This window comes from Homo sapiens, chromosome 17, assembly GCF_000001405.40.
Source record: "Homo sapiens chromosome 17, GRCh38.p14 Primary Assembly".
Taxonomy (NCBI): domain Eukaryota; kingdom Metazoa; phylum Chordata; class Mammalia; order Primates; family Hominidae; genus Homo; species Homo sapiens.
The window spans coordinates 74,431,474-74,451,990 of NC_000017.11; the positions used below are offsets into that span (position 1 = coordinate 74,431,474).

The 20,517-nt window shown below is 54.4% G+C and overlaps 1 protein-coding gene across 7 annotated transcripts, besides 3 other annotated features; it reads left to right on the forward strand.

Moving 5' to 3' along the window:
- Positions 1 to 614: 614 nt before the first annotated feature.
- Positions 615 to 20,185, forward strand: GPRC5C (G protein-coupled receptor class C group 5 member C). Of its 7 annotated transcripts, NM_001438839.1 has the most exons (6): positions 615 to 668; positions 8,272 to 9,354; positions 12,345 to 12,439; positions 15,376 to 15,525; positions 17,350 to 17,442; positions 17,862 to 20,185. In NM_001438839.1, the coding sequence occupies exons 2-5, from the start codon at positions 8,304 to 8,306 to the stop codon at positions 17,407 to 17,409; spliced, it is 1,356 nt and encodes a 451-aa protein (NP_001425768.1). In that variant the 5' UTR covers positions 615 to 668; positions 8,272 to 8,303; the 3' UTR covers positions 17,410 to 17,442; positions 17,862 to 20,185. The 7 variants fall into 7 exon arrangements, with proteins under 7 accessions (NP_001425768.1, NP_001353190.1, XP_047292356.1 ...); NM_001366261.2 differs by lacking the exon at positions 17,350 to 17,442 and having other exon boundaries at positions 615 to 1,050; XM_047436400.1 differs by lacking the exon at positions 17,350 to 17,442.
- Positions 11,586 to 11,705: an enhancer, noted in NCBI's record as "active region_12705". NCBI's record gives its function as "activates an Ori minimal core promoter by ATAC-STARR-seq in GM12878 lymphoblastoid cells {active_cell/tissue: GM12878}" and the evidence as "EXISTENCE:reporter gene assay evidence [ECO:0000049][PMID:35858748]".
- Positions 12,748 to 13,292: an enhancer, noted in NCBI's record as "H3K4me1 hESC enhancer chr17:72440360-72440904 (GRCh37/hg19 assembly coordinates)". NCBI's record gives its function as "activates a minimal SCP1, AML or CMV promoter by ChIP-STARR-seq in naive H9 embryonic stem cells {active_cell/tissue: H9 hESC(naive)}" and the evidence as "EXISTENCE:reporter gene assay evidence [ECO:0000049][PMID:30033119]".
- Positions 13,293 to 13,836: an enhancer, noted in NCBI's record as "H3K4me1 hESC enhancer chr17:72440905-72441448 (GRCh37/hg19 assembly coordinates)". NCBI's record gives its function as "activates a minimal SCP1, AML or CMV promoter by ChIP-STARR-seq in naive H9 embryonic stem cells {active_cell/tissue: H9 hESC(naive)}" and the evidence as "EXISTENCE:reporter gene assay evidence [ECO:0000049][PMID:30033119]".

The window sequence follows — 20,517 nt, forward strand, 5'->3', positions numbered from 1 at the left end:
AGTCGGAGCAGGGAACGGGGACGCCGGGAGGGGAGAGCGCGCTCCGAGTTGGGCAGAACCTGGAACGGTCACAGGAAACCCGGGCGCGGGGTAGTCGGGCCGAGGGGGACCTTTGCCCACGGTCCAGAGTGGTCTGGACTCGGCCCACGCGTGAGAGGAGCGCTTGGTGACGATCCCACGTACGCTTGGTGACTGGTGGAGGTCCCAGAGAAGGACCGTGCGTGCAAAAGGCGAACCTCGGTGTGCGGTGTGTCCACGTGTGCAAGCTGGGGAGGGGAGGGGGCGCAGAAGGCGTGACAAAGACGGACTCTGTCTTGAGTGTGCGCCTCGCTCCGGCCCGCTCCCAGCGAACTGTGCCTGAAGTGTGTCTCACGGGAGGGCCAGGACGAAGGTGACAAAGGCTAGGTGTCCCCCACGGAGACGCGCCAAGGTAGCCCCGCGCGTGTCCGTAGGCGCGCTCTCTGGAAGACGCGGTGGGGGGTGCGCAGGGCTGCACCCTCACACCAATTGCCCCGGCGAAGGCCGAGCCCAGAAAGTGAGTGCGCGTGAGTGTGCGCGCGCCCGCATGCGGGGGCGTGGCAGTCAACAGCAACAACCCACACGCCGGCAGGGCCAGAAACTCCCATCTCCCTCACCAGCCGGAAAGTACGAGTCGGCTCAGCCTGGAGGTGAGTCGGGGCGGGGAGGGCCGGGCAGGCTTTGTTCCTGTGTAAACGGAGCGCACGTACCTGGAGCGCGGCGGGCGCCCGATTAGCGCCCTGAATGGAGGTGATGTAACGGTGATGCAGGCTCCAGCCCACCCTCGCCGAAAGCAAGGAGCCCTGCCTGGGGACAGGCCCGCGCGAGAGCGAGCAACCCAGCGCGCCTGGCTCAGCCTCGGTCCCAGGGAGAGGCAGGCCCTGCGTCCCGGCCCGGGCCCCGCCATCCCAGCCAGGACCGGGCCTGGCCCAGCGCCCCGCGCCGCGTCCCTCCCACCCCCGCCCGCCCCCCGCCTGGGGCTGGAGTTGGCCCCAAACGCTGCGCTGGAGCGGGGCCGGCGGCGAGTCCCAGGTAAGGGCTGCTGCCTTCCCGCTCCGCCGCCCGGAAGAGTCGGGTCGGGACGGCGGGGAGTGGGCGAGGGCAGAGGCGGGGGGACTGGACATCCTGCGGGCTGGGGACGCCGCGCCAACTCCGCTCGGTCGCTGAAAGTTTTCAAACCCGAGCCGGCTGGGGACTGGGGGGGTGGGGGAGCCCGGCGCTGCGGCTCGGGCTGGAGGGAGGGGAAACCACTCCATAATCGGGGTCTCCAAGAGGAGCCCCTCCACCGCCTGCCTCTCGGTGGGAGTCCGCGGTCACTCTCTCTCGTGGGTGGCGTCCTCTCTGCCGCCTGCTACTGTGGATGTGGAGGGCAGGTTTCTGTGGCCCTAAAAATGGGAGAGAGTGACTGGTTCCCTTGCTCCCCATTCCAGCCACCCAGGGAGCGCAGGTGTAGACCCCAGTACCGTCGACCCAAGTAGGGACGAGAGGGTTCAGAATCCCCCTGAGGGAAGTTTGGAAATTCAGACTATCAAAGCGCCTCCCCTTCTGGTAGCCTGGCCCCTAGATCCCGAACCCCCACTCCCGGCTGGCTTTTCCAGCGTCCTTTGCACCTCCATCCCCAGGCCCGCAGTGTTACACGCTGGAAGACCCAATCACTTACAAACTCCACGATCAAGATCCTAAAGCCCGGGAGAGGAGACTGTTGGAAGTAGGGTTTTGTGCTCCTGGAGCTTCCTCTCCCCGCCGGCCCCCCACCCCTGTGCCTTCAACTGGACTGGGGGAGGGAGTGCATTGGGGGGTGGGGCGCATTCCAGAGTGACATTCCAGAGCAGACCCTTGAAGATTTCCAAGTCTCAGAGAGCTCAGGGCATTTTGGCCCAAATGCCTGGTCTTGGTGCGGGGCAGGGGCAGGGGGATAGGGGTGGGGTGTCTAGGCTGAGGTTCGAGGAACCCCAACCCACCCCCCACCAACCTACACACTGAGGCCGCTCCTTCCAGGCACAGGCGTCTCCTGTGCGCCTTCTTATCGATGGGGTAAACGCCTGAGCGCCCTGCACAGAGGGGTGAGACAGTGGGACCTAACCAGGGACTGGGAGAGACCGATAGGAGTGGAGGCAGGAAGGCTGTCAGTCGGGCCATCGTCTTTCCCTATAGGCTCTTGAGTGTGTGGGATGGGAGGAAGGCAAGTGCTCTGTGGTATCCCTGGGGGAACCTCCCTGAAGAGTGCCCTGGTCACAGCACCCTTGAAGACAGCCATTGGCCATGGGTCAGTGTTGAGTTTGGTTGGCCCTGTGACGCGCTGGAGCTCTCTTTCCAGTGCGGTATCCTTGGCCCTGGTGGGTGGAGGGGGTCTCAGGCTTGTGTGTGGATGATGCTGGAGCGAGGAAGGGAGTTTTGCTCTGGAGAAGTGAGAAGGCCTGGCTGTCTCCCCGGTTGCTGGATGAAGCCACTTGTTGCTGGGGGAAACCAGTCAGGGCTGCTTGGGCCTCTGGGCCTCTGAGCCTCTGAGCCCACCAGGCCTCTGCGCCCCCTGGAGAGAGAAGGAGGGAGGAGGGAGGTTCAGCAACTGGACTGCACTGACTCACAGGAGAGCTGGGGGCAGGGTGGCTGAGCCTGGGGAAAGGCCGATTTCGGAGGCGATTAAAAATATTTGTACAACTGATTCCAGGGAAGTGAAGCAAAAGGCCCTTTTGTCCAGAAAATAATCTGAGGCTGGAGCTGGGCTTCAGCTGTGGGGTGGGGGAGACTCAGGGCGGAAGGAGGTTCCCCTCCTACCCCCCTCCTTGAACCCTCTGAGAATCTTTAAGCAGAAGATGCAACTCCAACATGGAGGGGACAACCCTGGGTGTGGAGAAATGCACCTGGGACCATCCAGAGGTGACTTCCAAATGCCCACTGTGTTCAGGCACAGCACCAGCTGTGGCAGTGGATTCTAGAAGTCTTGTTCACCAGCTTCAAAGACCTTACAGCCCTGGAGGGGAGACACGGACATGATTTGAACGTTCAGGGATCAGAAGGCTCAGTCTTAGTGCAGGGTCTGGGGACCCACAGGAGGCAGAAGTTTCCTCCAGGGTCCTGAGGAAAAGCCTCTGACCAGAGCTGAGTCCATCTTGTCAGTCCCTTAGCCACCATCTTAAAAGGTGGCATTGGGCCGGGAACGGTGGCTCACACTTGTAATCCCAGCACTTTGAGAGGCTGAGGTAGGTGGATCACCTTAGGTCAGGAGTTTGAGACCAGCCTGGCCAACATAGTGAAACCCTGTCTCTACTAAAAATACAAAAATTAGTTGGGCATGGTGGTGGGCACCTGTAATCCCAGCTACTCGGGAGGCTGAGGCAGGAGAATTGCTTGAACCTGGGAGTTGGAGGTTGCAGTGAGCCGAGATCATGCCATTGCACTCCAGTCTGGGCAACAAGAGTGAAGCTTCGTCTCAAGAAAAAAAAAAAGGCTGGGCGCAGTGGCTCACGCCTGTAATCCCAGCACTTTGGGAGGCCGAAGCGGGCGGATCACGAGGTCAGGAGATTGAGACCATCCTAGCTAACACGGTGAAACCCCGTCTCTACTAAAAATAGAAAAAATTAGCCGGGCGTGGTGGCGGGCGCCTGTAGTCCCAGCTACTCGGGAGGCTGAGGCAGGAGAATGGCATGAACCTGGGAGGCGGAGCTTGCAGTGAGCCGAGATCACGCCACTGCGCTCCAGCCTGGGCGACAGAGCGAGACTCCGTCTCAAAAAAAGAAAAAAAAAAGGCATTGGCTGAATGTGCACTCCCGGCATCAGAGGGCTGGAGCTGTGCTCTTCTGAGCTTCTCTTTAACTCTCTGAGGGTCCCTGTCCTAGGCAGTGGATGAGAGCCACGCCCAGAAAGCCCAGGTTTCCCACCTGAGTCCATGTATTTCTGTCTTCCCACCTGCCCTTCCATTTCTGGGGGAACCAGAGAAATAAGATATTTCAGGATGGGACCAGGTTGTTTCCTCTGAGGCTGTTAAGTTACTCAGCAACTTACTAAAAGCAGCAGCCTGGCTGCTGGGCAGCAGCATGGTACCTGGATGCGGTGAGGGGCAGGTACAGGCTCCTCTCTCATTCCTTGAAAGTTTCTATATTGAGGGGGTTGGCAGGAGAAGCAAGACTTGAAGGGTCAGGTGCAGAAGGAAGTTGCTGGTCACCAACCACAAAATCAGGGGGAAACTGGAGGTGGGGGCTTAGGGACAGAGAGCTGTGAAGCTTTCCTGACCCTAGCCCAAGTGCCTGTGGGCTTCTTGGAGCCAGCAGGGTACAGGCAAGTATTTCTAGGGCAAGATGGATCAAGAAGAATGAGTGACATTGGTCCCTGGCTTGGTTTTCTGTAATGACATGCCTGTTAGATTTGAACTTGTAGTATGGGCTTTAGTATCCTTTTCCCCCACCTCCGCCATCCAACCAGTCCTTCGATTGTTTTTTGGAAAGGATCTTTCAGAGCTGGCCATTATGGCTTTACCTTTGGCCTTGACCTTTAAACTGGAATGAATGTGCCCCCCAACAAATCGATTGCCTGTGCATTTTTGCCAGACTCTTTTCCTAAAAGCGCAACCCTGGCTATGCCCCCATGATGCTAAAAGCAGCCTTCAGTGGCTGCCTGTTGCCTTTAGGATAATGCCCCCAGCCCCACCCCTGTAGCATTTCCAATGTGTCAGCCAGCAGCTGCAGCCTCCCTTTGCAGACTCAGCTGATACTTGGCAAACTGAATTCTTTTTTAACTTGCTCTGGACTTGGGCTCAAAGGGCTTTGATTCACACCATCTTTTCTGCCTTGCACGTCCCTCTCCTTGTTCCCTTCACCTGCTCAGTCCTTCCTCACATTCTTCAGGGCTTAGCTTTTGGGTGTCCCTGTCTCTTGGCAGTGTCTGGGACCTGGTATGTTTTTTTATTAGATTCTGAGTAAAACTCTGCGGAACAGTCTTTCTCTACTCTGCCTGTTTCTCTTCTGTGTTCCTGTAGCCCCTGTCTCTCTCCTGCAGGTAAATTCCGTTGTGTGGCCCTTAATCATATTCTTCCTTGTGTAATTTTTGTGAGTACCTACCTTATCTCTCTTGATAGATTTTAAATGCCATCAAGTCAGGGACTACGTTTGTTCATGTTTGTATTTTCCACAGCTCTGGGAACAACAGGGCCTTTCCTTCCCAGGCGCACAGTCAATATTTGCTGATTTGGAGTAATTGCCTGTTCTAAACTGGGCCCTGGCCGAGGGAGGTGGGGTGAAAAGCCCTTGAAAGTGCAGGTGTCCGGAGTCTAAGTGGCAGTTCTGAGGGTTCTCTTCCCTACGTCCAGCTTCAAGCCCAAGTTCTGGCTGGTTTGGCTGTGGAGCCCAAGATGAAGTTGAACATTTAGGATCCCACAGCTTGTTGTTATCCATAAATTATCTCCCAGGAGTGGGTCCATATTACGCCTTCCCTTTTTTGTTGTTGTTGTTGTTGTCGTTGTTGTTTTTGGTTTTTGAGATGGAGTCTCGCTCCGTCACCCAGGCTGGAGTGCAGTGGCGCAATCTCGGCTCACTGCAATCTTCTGCCTCCCAGGTTCAAGGGATTCTTCTGCCTCAGCCTCCTGAGTAGCTGGGATTACAGGCGCACGCCACCACACCTGGCTAATTTTTGTATTTTTAGTAGAGACGTGGTTTCAGCATGTTGGTCAGGCTGGTCTGGAACTCCTGACCTCGTGATCTGCCCGCCAAAAGTGCTGGGATTACAGCATGAGCCACCGCACCCAGCCTACTCCTTACCTCTTAGCCCTCTCTTACTCCTCTTTCCAGCACTTGTAAATAAAATGCAGTTGGTGCTTTATTGATTTACAAAGTCCCCTACAGAAGCTTATTTAAGTCCTGCATTAGAAGTAAAGAGAAACTAGCCATTAGAACGCCAGTTATTTAGGAAAACAACAGTACATTTACATGAGATAGTTAATTTTAAGAGTTAATCTTAAGCAAGCTTAATTGAAAGATGAGGTAGCTGAGATGGCTAAGACGACCTAAATATTTTCAAGTGGCATGGAGACTATTTGAAGGGACTTTGAAAATGGATCCTCTTTATTGTGTCCATTTCACTTAATTTTATGAGTTGCATTGCCCCTGATTTAGTAAGTGTTCTTTCACATAACAATTATGGACAGAATTTTTTTTTTTTTTTGCTTCTGTGTTGAAAAGAGGGACAATTTCTATCAACTGTGGGATTTAGGGCTTTTGTTTGCCTATTAGAAATTAAGTAGCCAGGAATGGTAGAAAACAGTAAGGAGGTAAACCATGTATAAACAACCTCACAATCCCCCTAAAAAAGGAAAAAGGGTGGCAGCCTCACAGAAGAGAGTTAGATAATGCCATTCCCCTGCCAGCCACTAGTGGTCACTGTCAGACCAGGAAAGCTTGGTTGCTGTTTTCCCAGAGAGTTCCTGATGAAGCTGGGTTACAACTAGTTATTTGAACACGTGGGGTGACTTAAATGTGGACTACCTGCATTCATAGAATTTTGAAACGTATAACCTGTTTCTTTAAGCATTTAAATTTTCTTTTTCTTTTCTTTTCTTTTCTTTCTTTTTTTTGGAAACAGTCTCGCTCTGTTGCCCAGGCTGCAGTGCAGTGGTGCAATCGCAGCTCACTGCAGCCTCGATCCCCTGGGCTCAGATGATCCTCTAACCTCAGCCTCCCAAGTAGCTCAGACTACAGGTGCATGCCACCACACTCTCTGCTAATTCATATATATATATATATATATATATATATATATATATATATATATATTTGTTGTTGTTGTTGTTGTTTGTTTTCATACAGAGTCTCACTCTATTGATCAGGTTGGAGTGCAGTGGCGCAGTCTTGGCTCACTGCAACTTCCACCTCCCGGGCTCAAGCAATTCTCCTGCCTCAGCCTCCTGAATAGCTGGTATTATAGGCGTGCACCTCCACGCCCGGCTAATTTTTGTATTTTTAGTAGAGACGGGGTTTCACCATTTTGGCCGGGCTGGTCTCGAACTCCTGACCTCAAGTGATCCACCAGTCTTGGCCTCCCAAAGTGCTGGGATTACAGGCGTGAGCCACTGCACCCAGCTGCTAATTTTTGTGTTTTTTATAGAGACGGGGTTTCACCATGTTGCCCAGGCTGGTCTCAAACTCCTGGACTCTAGCAATCTGTTCACCTTGACCTCCCAAAGTGCTGGGATTATAGGCATGAACCACCGTGCCCAGCAGCATTTAAATTTTCAGTGTTAGGTTTCCTCCAAGTACATTTAAAACTTTTGATTGGAAAAAAACTCATTGATTTGGTCTTTAATATTTCTTAACCTGTTAAATCCATTACCTCCACTTCACGTGGGAAAATCCAATTGGTATTGGGAGCAGGAGTTTGGTTTTCTTCTCTGGCACAGATCTGTGGCATTTGGTAGAGCGGCAGTCAGTAGATGGAGTGAAAATTACCTTGCTGGTGTTAATAAAAGCTAATTTTCTTGCCTTCTAGCTACAACGTCTTAAAGTCTTCTATTAAAGATTAATTCCTTTGGGTTTTGCATTGCCCTTGCCTGGTTCTTACTTTTAAAATGTTAATGCTCCGAAGGAAAATTTTTGCATTAAGTCATTAACTCCTTAGCTGGGGACTTCGTTTATTTCACCCTTGACTTCCGCTTCCGAGCTAGGCAAAAAATGGAGGATTCTGAACTGGAGACTTGGCACTAAAAGTGGGAAAATGACTGTCTCTTCATTTTTCCTGGCTGTTGGTTATGCCTGCTGCAGCTGCTTGTTAAGTCTATTGAATGAATGAATGAACACATAGCTGACTGGCTGTGGATTTAGGCCTCACAGGAATGGAGTTTAGGGGCATAGCAGCTGACCTCCTGAAGCCTGAAAGTCCCAGGGCAGAGAGGAGGTACTGGGTGGGTGGTATGCTTGGTCTTGACTTGTTCACAAGCCCCTTCATCCTCCACCGTGGCCGCCAGAGCTCAGGGAATATCTGAACCCAGGTTATGTTTGGTGGAAGGGAGGGAACTGAAAATTCAATGACAGGTTTTTCTTTTGCCATGGCTAGGAATAGGGCTGACAAATGGGCTTCATCTCATTTGCCTCTGTGGCCAGTTGAAATGCCTCTCAGGGGTTCTATGTTAAGAAGGATTCTGAGGTCCAGAGAGCCTCACGGTCAGCAGCTAGCACTATCTGCCTGGGTTTAGGTTGGGGGAAGCAGCACCATGTATATTGGAGTCTGATCTTGGAGGACTAATTTTGTCCCTTTTCCTTCTGTCTCTAGGGACCCAACCAGAGCCTGGCCTGGGAGCCAGGATGGCCATCCACAAAGCCTTGGTGATGTGCCTGGGACTGCCTCTCTTCCTGTTCCCAGGGGCCTGGGCCCAGGGCCATGTCCCACCCGGCTGCAGCCAAGGCCTCAACCCCCTGTACTACAACCTGTGTGACCGCTCTGGGGCGTGGGGCATCGTCCTGGAGGCCGTGGCTGGGGCGGGCATTGTCACCACGTTTGTGCTCACCATCATCCTGGTGGCCAGCCTCCCCTTTGTGCAGGACACCAAGAAACGGAGCCTGCTGGGGACCCAGGTATTCTTCCTTCTGGGGACCCTGGGCCTCTTCTGCCTCGTGTTTGCCTGTGTGGTGAAGCCCGACTTCTCCACCTGTGCCTCTCGGCGCTTCCTCTTTGGGGTTCTGTTCGCCATCTGCTTCTCTTGTCTGGCGGCTCACGTCTTTGCCCTCAACTTCCTGGCCCGGAAGAACCACGGGCCCCGGGGCTGGGTGATCTTCACTGTGGCTCTGCTGCTGACCCTGGTAGAGGTCATCATCAATACAGAGTGGCTGATCATCACCCTGGTTCGGGGCAGTGGCGAGGGCGGCCCTCAGGGCAACAGCAGCGCAGGCTGGGCCGTGGCCTCCCCCTGTGCCATCGCCAACATGGACTTTGTCATGGCACTCATCTACGTCATGCTGCTGCTGCTGGGTGCCTTCCTGGGGGCCTGGCCCGCCCTGTGTGGCCGCTACAAGCGCTGGCGTAAGCATGGGGTCTTTGTGCTCCTCACCACAGCCACCTCCGTTGCCATATGGGTGGTGTGGATCGTCATGTATACTTACGGCAACAAGCAGCACAACAGTCCCACCTGGGATGACCCCACGCTGGCCATCGCCCTCGCCGCCAATGCCTGGGCCTTCGTCCTCTTCTACGTCATCCCCGAGGTCTCCCAGGTGACCAAGTCCAGCCCAGAGCAAAGCTACCAGGGGGACATGTACCCCACCCGGGGCGTGGGCTATGAGACCATCCTGAAAGAGCAGAAGGGTCAGAGCATGTTCGTGGAGAACAAGGCCTTTTCCATGGATGAGCCGGTTGCAGGTGGGTCTCTGTGGATGCCCCCAGTGGCCCCTTTCTCCATCCCATGTCTTTTACTGCAGGACAGGGAGCCAGTCTCTTGAGCAAAATGGAAAGTTTTTGAGGTTTTCTGTAGTTTTCTGCCTAAGTGTCTCTAAATTCCATTTAATTTAAAGATTTTTTTTTTTCAGTTGGGCATGGTAGATCATGCCTGTAATCCTAGCACTTTGGGAGGCCAAGGCGGGTGGATCACTTGAGACGAGGAGTTCGAGACCAGCCTGATCCACATGGTGAAACCCCGTCTCTACTAGAAATCCAAAAAAATTAGCTGGGTGTGCTGGCTCATGCCTGTGATCTCAGCTACTCGGGAGGCTGAGGCGGGAGAATCACTTGAACCTGGGAGGCGGAGGTTGCAGTGAGCCAAAATCGAGCCACTACACTCCAGCCTGGGTGACAGAGCAAGACTCCATCTCAAAATAAATAAATAAATAAGATTTTTTTTCTATATTCATATAATTCATGCATACATTCTCACTGTAAAATTTCAAACATTACAGATAAAATGAAATTTTCCCCAGCTGCCTCCCCAGTCCTACCCGTCCCATCCTGTTCCATCCCCAGAAGTGACCACTATTGACTGATATAATATCTATGTGCCTTTGTTTCTCCATTTGTAAAATGGGGATAATGTCAGTACCTATTTCATAGGGTTCTTGTGAGGATTGAATTAATTAGTGCCGGCTGGGCGCCATGGCTCACACCTGTAATCCCAGCACTTTGGGAGGCTGAGGTGAGTGGAGCTTGAGCCTAGGAGTTTGAGACCGGCCTGGACAACATAGTGAGGCCCCGTCTCTACAAATAATTTCAAAAATTAGCCAGGTGTGGTAGTGCATGCCTATGGTCCCAGCTCCTCAGGAGGCTGAGGCAGGAGGATTGCCTGAGCCCAGGAGGTTGAGGCTTCAGTGAGCCGTGATTGCACCACCACATTCCAGCCTGGATGATCTCAAAAAAAAAAAAAATTACTTAGTGCCCGGCCCATGAAAAGCACTCTTGAAGAATTAGCTATTTGCTGTGTGTGCGTGTCTATTATTTTACATATTTTACTAATACTATCCTTCCAGAACTTGTTTTTCTATTATGTATGTATCCATAATCACCTTAGTTTTCTTTAAAAGGAAGTATTTTTCAGGTAATTTTTTTCTCTTTTTTTATTTTTTGAGACGGAGTCTCGCTCTGTCACCCAGGCTGGAGTACAGTGGTGTGATCTTGGCTCACTGCAACCTCCGCCTCCCGGGCTCAAGAGATTCTCCTGCCTCAGCCTCCCAAGTAGCTGGGATTACAGGCACGTGCCACCACACCTGGCTAATTTTTGTATTTTTAATAGAGACGGGATTTCACTATGTTGGCCAGGCTGGTCTCGAACTGCTAACCTCAAGTGATCCGCCTGCCTCGGCATCCCAAAGTGCTGGGATTACAGGTGTGAGCCACTGCACCTGGCCTTTTTCTCTTTTTAATAAAAGTATTTGGGGTGCCGTGTAGTGGTCTCAGCAGCGCCCTTGTTAGCTGTACAGCCCACTAGCATTTCCTCAGCACCTGCTCTGTGCCAGCCCCTGTGCTAATCCCCTTACCGATGTGGCCCATTGCACGCATCCCACCTGCTCTTCCTCAGCCTGCTGGCTGCAGCCCCTCATCTGACATGACCTGGAAATTTGGGGGTGCCATCTCAAAGTCCTGACCCTGCCCCCAGACTGTGCTGATCTGGAGGCCTGGGGGCTTCAGACTTTCTTAACTGCCCGGTTAACAAGCACCGGCTCTGGGGTCTCTGCTGGGAGGTCAGAGTCAGGCAGTGGAAGTTCCAGAATCAGAGACATTCCTTTCTCTTCTACACACTGTGAAATCCTCATAATCCCTGCTTTGGAGAAAGAGATGACCCTTGTCCTGCCGGGCACTTGATCTTTGATCTGCCCACCTGGGCTGAGGTGCTGGCCTCACCCCTGGGTGGCCCCTGTCACACGCACGGTGTGCATGGCGGGGGTGGAATTGGCAAAACCCACCAGAGAGGTGGGGCTTACAGACAAGTGCTGGGAGGAGCCTCAGGCCCCGCCCCCACACTGAATGCCGGTCGGGGCCAAATGGTTCTCAACCTTGGGGCTGAGTTTTTACTTCCTTTTTTTTTTTCTAAATGGAAAAATCAATAGAGTGAGCCCAGCCCCAGCACTTAGGAAACTCTATATAGGTTGCGGTCCCTCAGAACTGCAGGGCCGTCAGCCTTGCCGGAGCCAGACGTCCGCTGTGCCGTCCTCACAGCAAGGCCTGCTCCGAGGCCCCGGGGTGCGTCAGCAGCCCTCCTCAAACACCCTGGGAGTGCCCAGCAGGGCGGAACACACCGGGAAACCAACACCCCAAAGGCACAAGGAAGTATCCCTGGAGCTAAAAATAGTTCTGGAAACTTGCCAGGGGGCCACAGGCTGGGACGTGCGTTAAGGCTCCCTGGCCAGGCTCTGGGTTGGTGTAGTGGGGAAGGGGCGCCCAGGTCGGCCCTGGGAGGACATGAACAGGCTTAGGCCGAGGGCTCTCAGATGTATTTACCTCTGTGCCTGGCAGCTGGCCCGTGGTGACAGGCAGAGCTGGAGGCTGGCCATCTTGGAAGGCGGCCGAAGGCCCATGTGTCCTCTTGGCCTCTGGCCCCGGAGGGCGGATGGGGATGTGGAAGTTGCTGACAGAGCATTTTCTGAGCTGTTGGGTCAGGGGCTGGGGTGTCTACAGTGCAGGGAAGCTCAGCAGTGTTGTTCACTCCCATGCATCTGTACAAAGGGGTGCTAGGCTTGGGAGGGGGCCCCCGTGTTCACAACCTCACCCCCAAGTTGGCCACTCCTGGGTTAGAGACTATGCCAGGGTTGGCCTGCCCCCTTTACCTCTTCCCTGCCCCCAGAGAGCCTTGCTTGGTTTGTGGGAGGTGGGGAAGGGAGCTGAGAGCCCTGGGATCTTCAAACTGTTCCTGCTTTTCCTTGTAGCTAAGAGGCCGGTGTCACCATACAGCGGGTACAATGGGCAGCTGCTGACCAGTGTGTACCAGCCCACTGAGATGGCCCTGATGCACAAAGTTCCGGTAAGTGGGTTCCCCAGGTCCCCGTGACACGTCTGGGCTACAGAGACCAGCCTCAGCAGGCCAGTGGGAGAAGGCCATGTGGCCAGAGCTGGGTTGGGTGGAGGTGGTAAGGGGAAGGCAAGCTTCTCCATCTGGTGCTTTTACCTGGGGAATCCAGAGCCCCAGTTCTTAAATTCCTTGTCCTGGAGTCAGTGTACCCACCACCTTCAGCTGCACTGCAGTGGGACCCGCCCTGTGTCACTGGGGCATTGCACACAGGTTGTGTCGGGATGCTATAGGGAATGCTGGGTGAGCTCTCCCTGGTGGGAGCTGCCAGCTTTACCCTGGAGGGCTTGGGGAGGGACAAAGGAGGGTCTCAGCCAGGTGCTCCCAAAATAGACAGGGGTCCAAATGTCACAGGTCTGGATAGGTGTTTACTTCTCAACCACAGCTGTGCCAAGGGGGCCCACACTCTCCTCCCTCTCTGGCAGGCAGCAAGTCTCGACCTTACACCTCCCCCTGGGTTCTGGAAACTAGAAGCATCGTTAGCCAGGGGAGGGGGAGGGAGCAGGAAGACGGTGGGTTGGATTCTACTCACTCCTATATGTGTTCCTCCTCCCGGCTGGCAGAGGCTGTGGGGAGAGGTCAGTGACCCGTCTTGGCAGGACACTGGGAACAGGAAACAAGGAGGTCAGCTGGGTGGCGTTCTCATCCCCCTCCCCGCCCTCTCTGTGAGAGCCGCGGGGCAGGGGGAGGTGAGTGTGGCTGAAGCTTCCAATCCCAGCGCCTCCCCTCTCCCTGAGCCTGAACCTGAGCCTGGGCAGAGGAGAGCTTCCGGAGCACCAGGAGTGGAGGCTGCGGGCTGTCAGCTCTGGCGGGGAGTGGGCAGCCACAGAAGCCTTTGCTGAATAGCTTCCTTCACTGTTGCTGCACCTCACTCCCCAGCGCGTTTGGAGTCTGCTTCCTGGGGGATGATCTGGATTAACAGGGATATTTTATCTGACCGGTTCTCAAAACATGGTACCCGGACCACCAGCACTAGCCTCACCTGGGAGCCTGCTCAAAGTGCAAATGGGGGCCAGGCACAATGGCTCACACCTGTAATCCCAGTACTTTGAGAGGCTGAGGCAGGTGGATCACCTGAGGTCAGGAGTTTGAGACCAGCCTGGCCAACATGCTGAAACCTCATCTCTACTAAAAACACAAAAATCAGCCAGGCATAGTGGCACATGCCTGTAGTCCCAGCTACTAGGAAGGCCTTAGCCAGAGGATCCCTTGAACCCGGGAGGTGGAGGTTGCAGTGAGCACAGACTGTACCACTGCACTCCAGCCTGGACAACAGAGTGAGACTCTGTCTCCAAAAATAAATAAATAAGAAAAAAAAAAAAAAGTGCAGATGGGGCGGGGCCAGAGCTGGGATGGAGCTGACTGTTAGCATCCGTTCAGGGCGTCGGCACCATGGGGGCACTATCCAGCGCAGATCTGCAAGCCCAGCATTCAGCACTCCCTCCCCCAGCCCCAGCTGTTGCCAGCTGCATGGGGCCAGCTGTGTTGGGTGGGGACTGTGTAGGGTCCAGCTATGAGTTGGTGGAGTCTGCGTGGGGACTGTGTAGGGTCCAGCTATGAGTTGGTGAGGCTTAACAAGCAGTGCAGGTGATTCCAATGCACACTCATCTGTGGTTTTGGACCACAGATGTAGATGTTCCAGGGACCACATGGACAGGGGCCATTGCAGACAGGCCTGAGGACCTCCTGGGCCTGATTGACTTGAAGGCTAGTTTGGGGTCTGGGAGCTACAGAGATTTGGTGGCAGCTCTTTCCCATAGGGCTAAGACAGATGGGGCCAGGAATACACCTTTCCTCCAGCATAGGAGCCGGAACAGGTACCTCAGGACCCTCTTCACCCCACAGCTGGTGTCTCTCACCCACATGGGAGCAAGACCCAGCGCCAGGCAGAGAATTCAGGTTTCAAGACTCCAAATCAGGGCTGGTTGCAGTGGCTCATGCCTTTAATCCCAGTGCTCTGGGAGACTGACATGGGAGAACTGCTTGAGGCCGAGGGTTCGAGAGCAGCCCTGGCAACGTAGTGAGACCCCCCCCCCCCGCCCACCATCTCTACAAAAAAAAAAAAAAGACTCCAAATCAGACCGGCCAGACTAGATGCCTAGAGAGATGTGTGGGCACACCCAGAGCCATGTCCTCCGCCAGGGAAGCCAGCAACTGTGATGCTGGGGGTATGGTAGTGACAGGCGGTCGACTCGGGGTAATATTCTTGGAGGAGCCGGGCATGGTGGCTCACACCTATAATCCCGGCACTTTGGGAAGCCGAGGCGGGTGGATCACGAGGTCAGGAGATTGAGACCATCCTGGCTAACATGATGAAACACCGTCTCTAATAAAAATACAAAAAATTAGCCGGGCACGGTGGCGGGCTCCTGTAGTCCCAGCTACTCGGGAGGCTGAGGCAGGAGAATGGCGTGAACCCGGGAGGCAGAGTTTGCAGTTGGCCGAGATCACGCCACTGCACTCCAGCCTGGGCGACAGAGCGAGACTCCGTCTCAAAAAAAAAAAAAAAGATTCTTGGAGGAAGGGGGCCTGGGAGCTATGTCAGACAGGTAGTAGCAGCTCTGTGTGGCTGACTCTCCACTGGCCCTAGCATTTCCCTAAACAATTGGAAGTAGGAGGGTCTTGAGAAGGGGATCCCCCTCTGTGAAGCCCCAGCACCATCCAAGGTCAGCAGGGGCCTCGTTCCCATGCCCAGAGGCAGGGTGAGATAAGGGGCTCAGGTCTGGCTGTCCCAGGCTGCTCCTGGGGCCCAGCCAGAGGGGGCAGAGGAGCCGAGGGGGGAGTTGGGGGGGATCTGGCAGTCCCAGCCCTGCAGGAAGTGTTTGTGCATCCGCCCCGGCGGAACCTGGCTCCCAATCCCCGACTGTGAGACCGCCTGTTCTTCCTTCCAGTCCGAAGGAGCTTACGACATCATCCTCCCACGGGCCACCGCCAACAGCCAGGTGATGGGCAGTGCCAACTCGACCCTGCGGGCTGAAGACATGTACTCGGCCCAGAGCCACCAGGCGGCCACACCGCCGAAAGACGGCAAGAACTCTCAGGTCTTTAGAAACCCCTACGTGTGGGACTGAGTCAGCGGTGGCGAGGAGAGGCGGGCGGATTTGGGGAGGGCCCTGAGGACCTGGCCCCGGGCAAGGGACTCTCCAGGCTCCTCCTCCCCCTGGCAGGCCCAGCAACATGTGCCCCAGATCTGGAAGGGCCTCCCTCTCTGCCAGTGTTTGGGTGGGTGTCATGGGTGTCCCCACCCACTCCTCAGTGTTTGTGGAGTCGAGGAGCCAACCCCAGCCTCCTGCCAGGATCACCTCGGCGGTCACACTCCAGCCAAATAGTGTTCTCGGGGTGGTGGCTGGGCAGCGCCTATGTTTCTCTGGAGATTCCTGCAACCTCAAGAGACTTCCCAGGCGCTCAGGCCTGGATCTTGCTCCTCTGTGAGGAACAAGGGTGCCTAATAAATACATTTCTGCTTTATTAACTCTTGCTCTGGGATTGTGGTTTCTGACCTGGCCTCCTGGTTTCTGATGAACGTCTCCTCCACCATGGCCTGTGGGTGACTTCTCTTTCTTCCCTCCAAATCCAGCTCACATTTAAAGCTGCTGCAGATTTTTCCTGTGCAGTTAAGTAGCTGATGCCTCTCCCCAGTGAGTGGTTCTTTAGCAGGTCCTCTGTCTGTATTGTGTGCGATCAGAATGAACACCCAGGCTCAGTGCGTGCCTAGGATGCAGTCCCGCACCTGGGCTTGTCTGAGGCCAGGCAGCTTTCCTCTGGGAACCCCCCTCCAGTGGCTGTGGGGATAGGACTGGGAAGGTGAGCCTTGAGCCAGGTGGCTCTGTGTGTAAGGGAAGATGAACTCATTTCAGCTTCTCCTGGGATGAATGACAGTGAAGATCCCATAGCGGACAAAGTGGAGACTCATTCTGCTCCATGCTTTGAGATCACACCGTGTGATACGTGCAAAGGAATGGCCTAGAGAGGGTCAGGAATTGTTTACAAATGGGTTGACAAAAGTGCAAAGGGTTGGGCCAGGTCCTGGTTGGTTTCGTTCCCGAGCGGTCATTAAAATGTCCATTTATGCGGGGTGCGATGGCTCATGCCTGTAATTCCAGCACTTTGGGAGGCCAAGGTGGGAGGATTGCTTGAGCCCAGGAGTTCCAGACTAGCCTGGGTAACATAGTGAGACCTTGTTTCTACAAAAAAAAAATTTTTTTTTAATTAGCCAGACATTAGTCCTAGCTACTCAAGGGGGTGAGGTGGGAGGATCTCTTAAGCCCAGGAGGTCGAGGCTGCAGTGAGCTTTGATTGCACCATTACACTACTGCCTGGGCAACAGAGCGAGACTCTGTCTCAAAAAAAGAAAGTCAGTTTGTTCGGTACTTATACTAAGCAAAAGCCTTTCCTCAGCAGCTCATTTTTTAATTTAATTTAATTTAATTTTTTTTTTGAGACAGAGTCTTGGTCTGTTGCCCAGGCTAGGGTGCAGTGGCACAATCTCGGCTCACTGCAACCTCCGCCTCCCAGGTTCAAGCAATTCTCCTGCCTCAGCCTCTTGAGTAGCTGGGATTATAGACATGTGCCACCACACCTGGCTAACTTTTTGTATTTTTAGTAGAGACAGGGTTTCACCATGTTGCCCAGACTGGTCTTGAACTCCTGGCCTCAAGTGATCTGCCCACCTCAGCCTCCTGGAGTACTAGGGTTACAGGCATGATCCACCACTCTCGGCCCATCAGCTCATTTTAATCCCCAAGGCTGCCCTGGAAGGTGGGAAGGACTAGTATTCTATCCCTTTTCCAGATTCAAAATCCCAGAACTGTACCATTTTGGGGTGAGACAGGGCCTCAGAGTAGTTCTACCGCCCCCTTTTACAGGTAAGCGAACTGACCCAGAGAGGCCAGGCCAACACCAACCAGGTTTTCCTAAGACTCTGACGTCCAGCAGCCTCTCTCCGTGGCCCACCCTGGGTAAGCCAGTCCAGTGGGTGGCACTTCCAGCCATGTGGTTGAGACAGCAGGGTCCTGACCTTTGGACGCTGGCTCAAGACTTTGCCAGGGGGCTGCCAGGCCGGCCCCGGGGAGCCTGCTCCTCCCAGGCTTGGGAATGTTTCTCCCCAGCTAGTCAGAAGCTATTTTCTGATACCGGTTGTAGGGGAAAAAATGTTTTTGTTGAAAGGGAGAGAAAGGTTGCTGGGAAAAAAAAAATAAACTTGAAGGGGAGAGAAAGTTTGCTGGGAAGAAAAAATAAACTTCTCCCAAAATTCTCCTTCTATGCTCAGATTGCATTAGCCTCCTGGGGACTGAAACACTATTTTTAAGTAAAAACCAGTTCTTGGGCCCCACGCAGTAGAGTCCCCTTTGACTCTTGTTCTTTCTGGTCACTTTAGGCTCAGTCCCCACAAAGTAAAACGAGATGGTAGAAGCCCTCTTCCCGGGACTGCACGGCATCCTGATCCTCATTCCTCTGTACCCAGGCTGGACCGGGCCCAGCACCTTTCCCATCCTTGTCATTGGAGCTGGGAGGGGCCGGAGGCCACCAACCTGAAGCAGTGGACCGAGTGGGCCCCCGTGAAGCCCTGAGTGTGTGACTGGAGCGCCTAGGGCCACCTCCCTTTCCTGCCCAGCCCATCTTCCTGGTCCCCAGGTGGCTGCAGCTACAAGGAGCTGTCCGCGGGCCCCCAGGCTGCCTCCAACTCCCCTCTTGACACGCCCCCCTCCCCCCAAATCATAGTCCCTGTGTCCCCAAGCTGTGGTTCAGATTGCCTTCTTCCCCTCTGTGAACAACAGGCCTCAGTGCCCCGTCTTGACTCTGGACCTTCCTGGCCCTGCCATCTTGGTGTCTGGCACTGGCTTGTCCCACCCTCTGCCTAGATGGATCTCCTCCATGAGTCTTTGGAGCCAAGCCAGGGCAGAAGTTGGCCCTTGCCCTTCTCACCAGGGCCTCCTGCCACCACCTGGACTGTGGAAGGCCACTGAGATGGGGGCAGAGCTCAGCCCGAGGCTTGGGCACACTGCTTCTCTCCACGGCCTGTGGGTCCTGGATCTGAGCCCTTGGGGTGTTTCACTCAAGAGCCACTGAGCCGTCCCCATCTTCCACAAAGCAGTTTCCACAAGCAAGCCAGGGCCAGCCCTGCCTGCACTCTGCCCGCAGTGCCCCTCAACGTCTGGGATGAGGATGAGCCTGCTGAGATGAGGGCAGCTCTCTCCATCCAGCAGTACCTCATGGAGTGCTCACTAAGGAGTTAGGAATGGCAGGCCACGCTGGCATCTGGGGTTCAAGGTGGCTCCTGTGGCAGGAACAGGTGTCCATGACCCTGATTACCTGGATCTCACAGGTTCTGGGAATGCAATAGGGGCCTGCTGTGGCTATTCCAACATCTCTGGTCAGGGCCTGGAAGTACCTTAGGACACATGGGGTTGGGGTCAGGACTGCATTCTCAGGGACCAGTGGAGAGCCCTGGACCAGATGAACTGGAGTCTAGGCCTCTCTCGTGACTGGGACTTGTGGGACGTGGGAGGCCTGTGAGATCCAGGACTAAAGATTATGCTGTTTCCTAATGGGCAGATATGTAAGTAGGTAAGTGGGATCCTCAGGTAAGCGGGATCCAGAACTAAAGACTGTGCTATTTCCTGATGGGCAGATGTGTTGTTTCTACCTCATCTTGGGCAGCACCTGGATATGCTGGCGCTGGTTCATCACTGGAGGAGCCTCTTGTATTTTGAGCCCTCGGACATGCTCCAGAGGGTCCTGACGGTCACCCAGCAAAGAGGGGGTACCTCCATGGTGCTGGCACCAAAGACAGAGATGGGCACAGCTCCAGGCTCGTGAAAATGAGCTCTCTATAACATTGTCTTCCTGAGGTTTTTCCTGCCCTTATCCAAGGTGGGCCCTAAAGCTCAGTCCCCAGCCCAGCAGCACCTCTGGGTGCCGGGGTGGAGGATGACGACCAGAGCAGCTCTCTGGAGAGGTGCCCTGTAGTCAGTCCCACAGCTCTCTGGTGCTACCCCCGTCCCCAGCAGCCTGTGCCTTTGTCACTGGCATACTTTTCCAGAGCTAAATTGGGCGAGCAATCCCTGCAGAGTAGGATTGCAGCTCTGACTGTGGCCCCCGACCTCTCTGTGTTGCCTGTCGAAGTCCATGAACAGAATGTTATTTCCCTCCAGTGGAAGGGAAGCAGGGAGCTCTGTGGACCTCACGCTGCCCTTGGTCTAGCTTAGCGGCCCCAAGATCCCTTAGTGAATCAAGGCGCTGTGTTGCTTTCCTATGTGATAATTTCAAAGGAGTCCCCGGCAGGGCCTGATACCCAGAGGCTGCAGTCTCCAGTGGACGTGGGTGTGTGTATAGCCTGAGTCCTCTGGGGGTCTGCGCGTGAGGCTCAGGGAGGGATGGGATCCTAAAAGATGCAGGCCTGCCTGTATTCAGGAGTACCCACTGGCCCTGCTTACTCCCGCCCGGGCCAAGTGGAGAAGAAGTTAGATGAGTTCTTAGGAGGAGAGAGGCAGCTTCTTTGAGGTGGTCGAGTGGCATCACAAACAAGCGTTGAATGGAAAAAGACTAGAAGAGGCAGAGCCTGTCACAGGTTCACCATCATCCAGCCAACACTATGGGAAATCTCACACCCACCACTGTCAAACCGAGGACTTTGGACTTAATAACTGCTCAGAATTAAACGACCTTACCTTCCATGGGTGAGGGCTTACTGCCATTGAATTCCTGTGTGTTCATAAATTCTGGGAGTTACTAGTTTTTTTTTTTTTTTTTTAATTATTTTTAGAGACAGGGTCTTGCTACGTTGCCCAGGCTGGTCTCGAACTCCTGGCCTCAAGCGATTCTCTCATCTCAGCCTTCCATGTAGCTGGGATTCCAGGTGCCTGCTCCCCCACCCCCGACCCTGCCTCTGGGATTTTTTTCATGTGTATTTCCCTGCTAGACCTCTTGCTTTTTACACCAACAAATGCTGTTTGATTCCAACTAACCTTTTTCTCTGTTGGGGATTTATTTTAAGGGGAAAACCAGGCCTCCAAAAACCACTGAGCTCTCAA